At 36.6% G+C, this 12,272-nt stretch overlaps 1 protein-coding gene across 6 annotated transcripts in view, besides 3 other annotated features; it reads right to left on the minus strand.

The window, feature by feature from the left end:
• FHIT (fragile histidine triad diadenosine triphosphatase) overlaps positions 1–12,272 on the minus strand; it is a 1,504,176-nt gene that overhangs the window by 745,181 nt on the left and 746,723 nt on the right. The window lies entirely within an intron of this gene.
• Positions 1–12,272: part of a biological region, named in NCBI's record as "origin of replication at fragile site FRA3B", that runs on past both edges of the window.
• Positions 8,973–10,059: an origin of replication, noted in NCBI's record as "Ori 3; region of peak nascent strand synthesis determined by microarray hybridization of labeled, size-fractionated nascent DNA". NCBI's record gives the evidence for it as "EXISTENCE:nucleotide analog incorporation evidence [ECO:0001107][PMID:19815620]".
• Positions 9,474–10,402: an origin of replication, noted in NCBI's record as "Ori 3; amplicons 3-6; peak of nascent strand synthesis determined by quantitative PCR of labeled, size-fractionated nascent DNA". NCBI's record gives the evidence for it as "EXISTENCE:nucleotide analog incorporation evidence [ECO:0001107][PMID:19815620]".

Genomic DNA, 12,272 nt, shown 5'->3' on the forward strand with positions numbered 1-12,272 from the left:
TCATAAACTAGTAAATGTGCAATAATCACTATTAAAGAATGAAAGATGGCATTTTTTTTTTTTTTTTGAGATGGAGTCTCACTCTGTTGCCCAGGCTGGAGTGCAATGGTGTGATCTCGGCTCACTGCAACCGCCACCTCCCAGGTTCAAGCGATTCGCCTGCCTCAGTCTCCCAAGTAATTGAGATTACAGGCGCCCACCATCATGCCTGGCTAATTTTTGTATTTTTAGTAGAGACGGGGTTTCTCCATGTTGGTCAGGCTGGTCTTGAACTCCTGACCTCAGGTGATCCACCCGCCTCTCTCCCAATGACAGCAATTTTTTAGTTTGACTGTCTATAGCCTTATAGGACATTACAGGTGAAAATCAGTAAAAGCCATGTGCACAAAAGATTTAGTGCATTCATGTGTCTTTATTCATTCACTCTATCTTCTGTTGCTTCACTGGTTCCTTTTGGGCTTCCTACTATGTGCCAGTTAATCTTTATTTGCTCTGGGCGAGTAACTCCCATTCTTAAAGACCTAATAAAACAGGACACAGTACATGTATACCCACTAATTATAAAACAGCGTAGAATTGATGGATAAGTGCCAAGGAGAAATACAAATCAAGAATTCAGAGAAAATGGTTCTTACTTGTCGAGAAAAGGGCAAGGGAAGACTTTATAAAGGTCAACTGGAATTTAGAGGAGTAAAAGAAATAAGGGTATTTTTGGGTAAAGGGCACAACATGAAATTGACTTAAGGACAATACACACAAGGACAAAAAGTGCCTATGACGTGAGTTTTAAGTTTAAAATACAGACTTTCAACAATGCTTAAATCTGTAGATGGTAGGCATTTTCCAAATTCCTCTAATAAGTAGAATCAGCCTATATCCAAGGAAGATCATAACTCATTAAATTTCATTTTAACCTTCCTGAATCTGCCTAAATTTTCTCATCTTATCAGGCAAGCCAATATATGCTTACACTGTGAGGTTAAAGAAATGAACCTGTGAAGAGAACCTGTCAAATCAAATTATCAACAAGCAATAGTCCCACTATTGGGGAATATATAAGCTGCAATGTCAATTTTAAAGAAGTGTGCTTACATTTGCATTTTAATTAGGTCACACCTTCAACATCATGATATTAATTTCAGTTTAATGCTCTATTTTATTGCCATTTCCAAAATGACATTTTTAGACATGGACATAAAGAAAAAAATCTCTACTTTTGTTTTGACAACCCATAAATATTGCAAATTGAAACAATGTTGAACAAAGTTCAATATTTGGAATATTCAAACGAGAGATACGACTGTGTCTAAAATTCTAAATACTTAGAATTGGATTTCAAAAATATTCCAAGGGAAAATTATTAGATTCTCATTTAAGAGCATAATGGAGTGTTGAATGGAACATAAAATTCAGGTTCCTGTGAGTCACCAGAAGCTAAATATGAATAGCTCAGAAAAAATCATTTTGGTTAAGACTTTGCATTAGAATTGAGACATGCTTTGTAGTTTTTTCAGATCAAGAGGGAGGTAGACAAATTACAGAATGTATCTTTGTCCATTAATAAATGACATATACTCAAATACATAAAGTTGTAATAACATTCACATAACAAAATTCATCAATCATTTTAAAGTGTAAAATTCAGTGGCATTTTGTACATTCACAATGTCATGCAACTTTCACCATATCTGTTTCCAGAATGTTTTCATCATCCCAAAAGAAAACTCTGTGGCCATTACAGCCATTCTACATTCCCCACTACCCACTCCTAACCCCTGGTACCACTAATCTGCTACCTCTATGACTTTGCCAATTCTGGATATTTCACATAAATTGTATCACATAATATGCGACTTTTAGTGTATAGTTTTAATTTTTATTTTTGTAGGTACATAGTTGTATATATTTATGGGGTACATGACATGTTTTGATACAGACATGCAATGTGTAATAATCACATCATGTAAAATGGGGTATCCATCCCCTCAAGCATTTATCCTTTGTGTTACAAACAATCAAATTATACTCTTAGTTATTTCAAAATGTACAATTAAATCATTATTGACTACAGTCACTCCGTTGCGCTATCAAATACTAGGTCTTATTCATGTTTTCTATTTTTTTGTACTCATTAACCATACCCACACCTCCCTGCCCACCACCTGTCAACTATCCTTCCCAGCTTCTGGTAATACTCCTTCTACTTACTACCTCTATTAGTTGAATTGTTTCGATTTTTAGATCCTACAAATAAGTGAGAACATACAGTATTTGTCTTTCTAGGCCTGACTTATTTCACTTCGCAGAATGACCTCCAGTTCCATTCATGTTGTTGCAAATGACATGATCTCATTCTTTTTTGTGGATAAATAGTACTCCATTGTGATTAAGTACCACATTTTTTAAATCCATTCCTCTGCCGATGGACACTTAGGTTGCTTCCAAATCTTGACTATTGTGAACAGTGCTGCAACAAACACGGGAGCGCAGATCGCTCTGTGATATACTGACTTCCTTTGGGTATATATCCAACAGTGGGATGTCTGGACTGTGTGTTAGCTCTACTTTTAGTTTTCTGAGTAACCTCCAAACTGTTCTCCTTAGTGGCTGTACTAATTTACATTCCCACCAACAGGGTACAAGGGTTCCCTTTTCTCTACATCCCCGCCAGCATTTGTTACTGTCTGTCTTTTGGATATAAGCCATTTTAACTGGAGTGAGATGATATCTCGTTGTAGTTCTGATTTGCATTTCTTTGATGATGAAGGATGTTGAGCACCTTTTCATATGCCTGTTAGCTATTTTTAGTGTATGGTTTCTTTCATAAGCAAATGCTTCAAGTACATTCTAACAAATACATTCTCTAATTCTTCTTTAAGGGAATACTCTTAAAGAAGAAATGGTCAAGTACTTCATTTCCCAACTGTTTTCTATTTTTCTTTTCCCAAAACTATTCCAAAAAGTTTATGGGGCTTTGTGTTTATTGTTTATGAGGTAAACAAATATGAGTTTTTACTCCCAGATTTTTCCAAATTAAAAAGGCAGTGACAAATATCCATTTAAATTAAAAATCCAAGCCATTATTGACATTGGAACTTGATTCTACATATGCATTAAAAAAAAGACCTAACAGGGGGAAACCTACATTGTGTTCATAACTGGGGATATCCAACAGCATCAGTATGTCAAATTTCCATAAATGAATCCATGTATTCAATGCCATTCCTTTAAAAAATTTCACGGCCTTTTCCCACAGAATTTGACAAGACGGAAAAAAATCATTTGAAAGAGTCAAGGTAAAGAACAGCCAAAATGTGATTAAAAGAAAGGAATGCTTGTCTTTCTAGACATAAAGATACTCTTTAATCATAGTAATCAAAGGACTGTATCATTAAAGCTCAAAGAGACCAACTGAACTCAGTGGACAGGCAAGAAACAGATTCACACATTTATGTCAAGACCATGGGGAAAGAATAGAATGGAACACTGTTTTTCCATAGGAAGAAAAGTAGATTCATAATTTATATCACATATAAAAGATATCCAGATGATATCAAGGCACATATGGAAAAGAAAACATTAATACATTAGAAAAATATGAAAGTACTGTTATGATATTAACACTGGGAATATATTCTTAAGGTACAGCCAAAATGCATAGACCAAAAGGAAATTATTAAATTTCATTATACTAAACATTTTAGTATCAAAGGCACTATCCCCTGTCCCGACCCCATCACACATATGGAAACCCACTAAGATTCCAAGCGAGAAATAAAAAAAAGTCCTGTGATGGATATGATCACAAAGGATTTAAATCTAGAATATATAAAAATACTAATTATTGCAAAAGAAAACAATGACCCAATGGAAAAAATTGGCAAAGAATACACACAAGCAATTGACAAAAAGGGACACCTGTTTGCATCCAGGAGCAAACGTTTTACTCCACTGGATAATTGGAGAAATGAGAATTAATCCAATAATGTGGTACCATCTTTTACCCACCAGAGTGGCAAACACTTAAAAAGTGTGCCAATGCAAACATCATGGGAAACAGATGTTTTCACCCAATGCTATGGAGTATCAACTGACACAAGCACTTAATTAGGACTATAGAACTGCTCTCCAATGTTGGAGAAATGTGTACCTTACAACATGGTGATTCCACTGCTAGGTAAATATTCTACAGAGAGACTCACCAGTACACTAGGAAACACATACAAAGATATTGGTTTTACATCGTCTTAACTGAGAAAAATTAGAAACAACCTTTAAAAAGGAATAGGAAATTAATTTGTCTTCCACTCAGGGACTAGAATACAATACAGGAGGTAAAAATGAAAGAATGAGGGCTTCATTTATTCATGTAGCTGTATCTCAAAAACAATGCCGAGTAAAAGAAACTGATTATGTACAGCAGGACACAGTCAAGAAAATATTAAATACATCAAACAACATGATTTCCTTTTTAGGGATACAGATGCACATTAAAAACAAATAAAAACAAAAAACAAAAAAAAACATGCAAACCTAAGCAGGTAGAAAACCTACCAACTTCAGGTCAGTAAACGCCTCTAAAGCAGTTCTCAAAAGGGGGTAACTTTGCCTCCCACATGTGGCAATATGTGGAGATATTCTTTGTTATTCACAACTAGGAGGGGGCATGGTATTGTATCTGGTCGGTACAGGTAGAGTTGCTGCTAAACACTTACAGTGCACAGGACAGCCCCCACAAGAAAGTAGTTATCTGGTCCAAAATGGCAATGGTTACAAGGTTGAGAAAGGCAGCCCTAAAAACAGAGGAAGGAGAATAAGATGACAGGTGGGGAAGATGAAGTGTATCTATAACTTTTCATTCTAAGAAAAGATCTGAAGCATGTATGAAAATATGTTAAATTTTTTAAGAAGGACTGCCACATTATTCTTTGTACATTCTTATATTTGAAATATCTCTTTAATCAGTTCAAAAATATAAAAATCATTCTGCAAACAAACACAGTTAATTTCTAAATTTGATGAAAATTACATAATTCTTTTATTAGCCTATTTCTATAAATATATCTTTGGAAAAACAATATTCTCACACTCACGATCAAACGTATTTGCACTTTTTTTCAGTGTTTGTTCTACACAGAGCTATAAAAGGAAGACTGTGGAAGAACCCAGGATTCATCCAGGATCACAGGATCATTTCATTATTACAGTTTCAGGCAAGAACATTCTAAAACCAGCTCAGAGAAAGCTAATTCCGTCCTTTCCTGGTTATATAGCAGATCATAATAATTCCAGGCAATTCTCTGAAGAAGCTGATGATCTAGAACAGTGGGCTTGCATCACACACCCCATCATGCTTCCTTAAGTACATGGCTTAGGATGCTGATTTCTCCCAACCTCATGGGTTTCAGTAGTTCCTACAAACAACTTTGAGATCAACCAGTGCATAATTTTATTTTTTCCTTTAGTTCCTTAGTGCAGAGGATGGCAAACTTTTTCTGTAAAGGGCAAGATAGTAAATATTTTGGGCTTTGCAGGCCATATGGTCTCTGTCACAGCTACTCATCTGTGTCACTGTAACACAAAAACAGCCATAGAGGATACATAAAGGAACAAATGTGGCTGTGTTCCAATAAACCTTTAGTTACAGAAACAGGCAGGGAGCTAGACTTGGCTCCAAGCCATAGTTTCGCCAACACCAAGATGGACAGCAAAAATGCAACCAGTTTAAATACTATTTTAAATTTAAGGCATTTCCTCCAATCTTTGAAAGTAAAGTTTTATGTATGTTTTAATCAGTGTAAAAATTTTGTACTACCAAAAATGAATTTATATAAATGAAACAATTCAATAAATGATGAAAATGTTCATTTGTTACATTTATAGCATACTAACTTCTTTCTGGAAGTATGTTATACCCCCTGATTTACTAAATTATTAATTATAATTTTACTAGTTTAAATTATGCTATTAATGATTCCTTATAAGAAAATAAACACACATATTGTATCTTCAACTAAGGGTTGGGAACGACAAGGACAGTGAAATTATACTCCCAACACAAATAATAGCTTTCTATTAGGTTTGCTATTTCACCTGAATAATTCCTTATAATCATGAATAATGATGTTATTCGACAACCTAATGATATCATGGTGTGTAGCTTCAATCCATCTGTCTTTGTCAAGAAGGTCAAATATTTGTACTCCACTGCACTAGGCAAAGTTGAACAAACAGTTAAACAACATCACACACCTTAATTACTCCTTCAAATGAAACCAGCAACTACCATTTTACCTGATTCTAGGACCTGTGAAATAAAAACCTACTTCAAAGATATTTAATCTGTATACACTTTTACACCAAATTTAAGCTCAACTTAAAAAAAAAATAAAAGTGGTTAAACTCAAGAAAAAGCCCCAAGATTTTCTAAGGGTATTGTTAATTGGTTGTTGCTGTAAAATGTTTTGTGAATAACAAAATATTCCAGGAACTTTTAACAAAGATCTGGAATACTTCATGTGTTATCTTGACATTGGCTTAAAGGTAAGAATAAAGCAATAGCGTGATAGATGTGAACTATAGTTCCTATAAATGCTTCATAGTGTTTGCTTTGCTTCGAGATTCCATGAGTGACCAAGGAGTTGAAGGGGATAAAAACTCCCCATTCACTGTTTCTACAGAGCCTCTACAAGACCTGGACCCTTGGGGCTGGGGGATGGTGAATATAGCAAGGTATGATGTGGGCATACTTAAATGATTTGCAGCAAAATAATGTTTATATTAAAAATCCTGTTTTCCTTCCTTCCACCCTTCTGCTTTTTCTTAAATCTCACCAAAGCTTTATTGCTGCACAAAAATGAAGTCCTTAGAAGGCCTTATTAATCTGGTTCCAGACTCCTAGCATCTTCCCACTTCCTCACCATGCTTCACCCCCACAGGTCTTCGTGTTTTTGAAACGGAGTCTCGCTCTGTCGCCCAGGCTGGAGGGCAGTGGCGAGATCTCGGCTCACTTTAAGCTCCTCCTCCCGGGTTCACGCGACTCTCCTGCCTCAGCCTCCCGAGTAGCTGGGACTATAAGTGCCCGCCACCGCACCCGGCTAATATTTTGTATCTTTAGTAGAGACGGGGTTTCACCGTGGCCTTGATCTCCTGACCTCGTGATCCGCCCGCCTCGGCCTCCCAAAGTCCTGGGATTACAGGCATGAGCCACCGCGCCCGGCCTCTCTGTGTTTTTTTAAACATTATTGAGCATGCAAACTTGTTTCTGCCCCTGAGCCTTTGTTCTTGTTTCCTTCTACCTGGACTTGGCTGCCCATTGTCCCACAATGGGCTGGTCCCTCCTCGTTAGTTCTTACAGCACGTGTCACCGGCAAAGAGAAGACTTCCCTACCACTCTGTCTCAAGCAGTCCCTCACTCTCAATCATACTCTTCTTTTTATTTTATTCAGAATAGAAAATCATGTTGTTTGTGATTTATGGGTTTACATTTATGGGTTTCATCTTTTATGGTAAACCTCTGCACACAAGAATAAAAGTAGGATCGTTATCTGACTATTCATTATTGTATACCTGGGGTCTGGCACATAGCAGAAACTAATTAAATGATAAATTTACATATTCATTCATTTACAATAGACAACTCTGTGTCTAATTTGAGGTCAGCAAATGACGGCCCTAGAGCCAAACCTGCCTGATACCTATTTTTGTAAATAAAGTTTTATTGGAACACAGCCCTGTTTGCCCGTTTACCAATTGATGATGTTGCTTTCACACTAGAATGGCCTAGTGGTGTAGTTACAACAGAGACCACATGGCCCAGAAAAGATTTACAGAAAAAGTTTGCTAGCTCCTGGTCTACTACACAGTATATGTTCTCAAATAAATAAAATAAAGTACAGTCATTGCTTTTAAAGGAGTTCTGGTCCATTGTGTGTTTTTATTCAAACACTTTTAGATTAAAATTCTATGGCCCAAAAGAAAGCTCCTTTAAAACTGTAAGCATCACCTAGCAAGAGTTGTATTGGTGCTGTGGCTGGGCACGGTGGCTCACGCCTGTAATCCCAGCACTTTAGGAGGCCAAGGTGGGTGGATCATTTGAGGTCAGGAGTTTGAGACCAGCCTGGTCAACATGGTAAAACCCCATCTCTACTAAAAATACAAAAAAAATTAGTAGGGTGTGGTGGTGCACCCCTGTAATCCTAGCTACTAGGGAGGCTGAGGCAGGAGAATTGCTTGAACCCGGGAGGCAGAGGTTGCAGTGAGCCAAGATCACCCCACTGCACTCCAGCCTGGGTGACAGAGTGAGCATCCATCTAAAAAAAAAAAAAAAAAAAAAAAAAATTGTATTGGTGCTCTATTCATTAGGTCAGCTGGCTGAAATCATAAAGAACTAACACAGTGCCTGGCCCCTGGTAAGTACTATACAAGCCTTGATTGGCTTCTTTTTGGAAGAAAACATTATATCCGGTGGCTAACACAGGGCTTGGCACATATTCGGTTGGTGCAAAAGTAACTGCAGTTTTCACAATAAAAGTAATGGCAAAAACCTCAATTGCTTTTCCATCCCAACCTAATAGCAAGTAACAGTCAAGATCTGTTGAACTGAATTGAAGTGAACTTGACTCTTTCAGCCAGAGGGACTAACAGGCTAATCTGTGAAATTAGTGGGCAAAAAACTGATTCACTCACCTGAGAACAAGCCATTCTGTAAAATAGGCTGAGAAACCATTTCTCACCAACATTTTTCAGGGATGACTTGAAGTAATATGATCCAAGGAGCCAGATTTCAATATACGTTTAATGTTTTTTGATAACTCGTTGTAGGTAGCCACTATTTATCTTATTTGAGTTACAAAGATACATAAACACAAAATTTAAACAGTAATTTGAGTCACAGACTCCCAGAGTTGCAATACTATCCCCTGTAATACTCAGTTCTATAGATATTTTTTCTTTTAAAAGATCCAAACTAACCCACATTTACGCCAGCTCTTCCAATTATGACTAACCGATGCATATTATTTCTCCAAATCTTGACGGTCTAAGCTAATGCCTCTCACAGTTGACTCACAGATGGAAGTCACAATTATTTGGGAGTGGCTGGCTTTTTGTTTTGAGTTCCACTTCCTGGCTCCTACGCTCAACTTTTGAATTCAGAATCCTTAGAGTGAGAAATCATGGCAGAGTCCGGAATCTCCATTTTAACAAACACCCTAGGTGATGCTCGGTCCTTTAGAAATCTGTTATTTTAGATCAAGAGATCATATATCCACATTAAGAAATACCAAGTAGCTATCAACTTTTGGAACCACTACTTTCCTCTATTGGAAATGTAACGAAGTGATACTGTGTGTTTTACTTGGAGTTATTCATATTACTGTATATTACGTGCATACACATGCATATTACGCACTCAGTACTTGTAGGAGTGAAGTACTCAAAGAAAAGCTAAAATGTGGCATCTTTGCCATCCAGGCGGTTCTTTGATAAGCAGCATACGCATAAATGATGTAAACAAATGATACAATGACCCATGACTGAGAGACCGACGAGTAGACATGCAACAAGATTTCAGAGAAAGAAGCAATCAAGGGGGTCTAGGTTGTCAGTGATGTGAAAAATTGCCTTCTTTGGATCCAGTAGAGGAGGCAGGAAGTACAAAAAGTGATAGTAGTTATCACACTCTAGAGGTGTCCCAGGACCTTGTTCTTCTCTCAGTTAAGACCTAAGATCTTAGAACACAGGAAGAGTAAAGCAAGAACTATGGCCTTCTAAGTTATTAATCCCAGCAGCCTGGGAAAGATTACTAAGGCTTTGAAAGCTGGCCAAAAGTCATTGCATCTCAGTGGTCATAGAGGAAGACCTGGGCCACCATGAACTGAACCAGTAAGAAGCCCCTGTCTCCAAGGAGCTGTCCTGAATGACCTTGCACGGCACAGCATTCTCTTTATCTTCCTGTGGCATCAGTAATAAAAATCATTGGCTGGTCTCCTCATTTGACATCTAATCAAACACTTCACTCGGAAGTTACTTTTCTTGCGGGTTTAGGTCTTAACCCTCCAAGGATCCTGCAAAGTTCTAGAGGACAGAGTGTCAGCAACTCCCCCAGTGCTTAGCACAATAATGTCAGGCATCATAAAAAGATCTTGTTTAATCATTTGATAATTTTTTATTTATTGCCTACCATGTACCAGACATTGTGTTAAGCACTCAATAGAACAGACAGCTAGATCCTAAACCCAATGGCAGTGACAAAACCGTCTGTAGTCATGAGGGCTGACGACAACACTATGACTATAGTAAAAGCCATTAAAATCACTTTAAATTGGTGAATTGCACGGTGTGTGAAGTATATATCAAAAATGCTATTATAAAAAAATCAAAATGGCAGAAAGGAAGATGGTCAAGCCTTAGAAATTCACTTGGTGAAAGGTTAGAAAAAACACATCCAGAACTTAGTTACTCCTATTTAGATGGTGACTGTGACACATTAGTAATACTTGATGGTACTGTAGCTGAATACTGAATATTAAGAAAATTGGAATGCTTCTCAGAAGCAACAAAACAACGAAACTACATTTATGCTGTATTGGTTAAGAACATAGGTGTCAGAATCAGAAAAACATGTGATCAGTTCTAGGTTCTCTTCCTTAGTTGTGTGACTTTGGTCAAACTGCTTACCTATCTGAGCCTCAATTTCTTCATCAGTAAAATAACTTTAAAATATAGTAATGCTCAATAATTCTTAGCTAGTAATCAAATAATGCAAATTAGCATAATACATTCTCACTTATAAAATTAGCATATATTAGGAAAATTATTACTATTCAATGAGTAGTAGCAAAATGTTTTTCCACTTTGCTTTTGGGTACATGTGAAATTTTATTGTATGTCCACTCATTGAGATCTCAAACATTTATTATCATAACATTTACATAATTTATGTGTATGTACCTTATCCAAGAAGGCCTATGATAGCAAAGATGCTATGTCTCAGTTTTCTTTGAATACTTCACTCCTACAATTACTGAGTGTGTATGCATGTAATATACAGTAATATAAATAACTGATAAATGTATGGGCACATACATTTTATATTGGTTGTGGCATGACTTCTAATAGTGAAAGTTATGAAACAAACTAAATATTCAAAACCAGGTGAAATAATTATAGTTAATCATATTGATGAAATATTATGAAACCACTGAAAATGAAGTTAATGAATAAGAAACATTAACTTTAAACAATAAGAAAAAACTTACGGTATTAGGATCAAAAGAAAGGGATATCATACTATATGTAGAGTAGTGTTGTGTTCTAGTTTTATCTAAAACTGTTTTGGAGAAGATGGAAGAAAACAAAACATTTTAAAAGATTAACAGGGATTATCTCTGGGCAGTAGGATTATGAGTCTTTTTACTTCATACTTTTGTGCATGAAAAAAATTAACAGTATTAAATTCTTGCTCATTTTATTTATAATAAATACATGCAGTATTGATTTTAAGAAAGAGCAAATAAGCCTTATTTTACGTATCACCAGATTATATCACAAAGTGACGTTAATTTTACTACACAGATAAATGACCACATAGCTCAAATGACCAGAAAAAAAGAATTGTGAAGTATATTCTCTAAATATAAGCATCCAACCATATTGATAGCCACCAATGTCAGTCACACTTAAAAAGATTTTTTGGCCGGGCAGCGTGCCTCACGCCTGTAATCCCAGCACTTTGGGCGGCCGAGGCGGGCAGATCATGAGGTCAGGAGATCGAGACCATCCTGGCCAACATGGTGAAACCCCGTCTCTACTAAAAATACAAAAATTAGCTGGGCATGGTGGCACGCGCCTGTAATCCCAGCTACTCGGGAGGCTGAGGCAGGAGAATCACTTGAACCTGGGAGTTGGAGGTTGCAGTGAGCCAAGATCTCCACTGCACTCCAGCCTGGCGACAGAACGAGACCCCGTCTCAAAAAAAAAAAAATTTTTTTTTTGGTTCAACAAAGCTGCTTAGTAAGTAGTTTAAAGTTATTTATTATTCTAACCCAAATGTTTCACATCACAGTAATTTGTTAAATATAATTGTATAACATAGTAAAACGTGAACTGCCAAATACAATATATTGATTGAAGGAGTCTCATGAAGCTTTGAGAGCTTCAGCGATAGTGGACAGGCTGTATTCAACCGCAGCTCCAAAGGAGAAAGTGATTAACAAAATAAGAAAATAATTAATTCAAAAGAAAATATGCTTTAGAAATATGTGATTTTT

This window comes from Homo sapiens, chromosome 3 (genome assembly GCF_000001405.40).
Source record: "Homo sapiens chromosome 3, GRCh38.p14 Primary Assembly".
In the NCBI taxonomy this organism is placed as follows: Eukaryota; Metazoa; Chordata; class Mammalia; order Primates; family Hominidae; genus Homo; species Homo sapiens.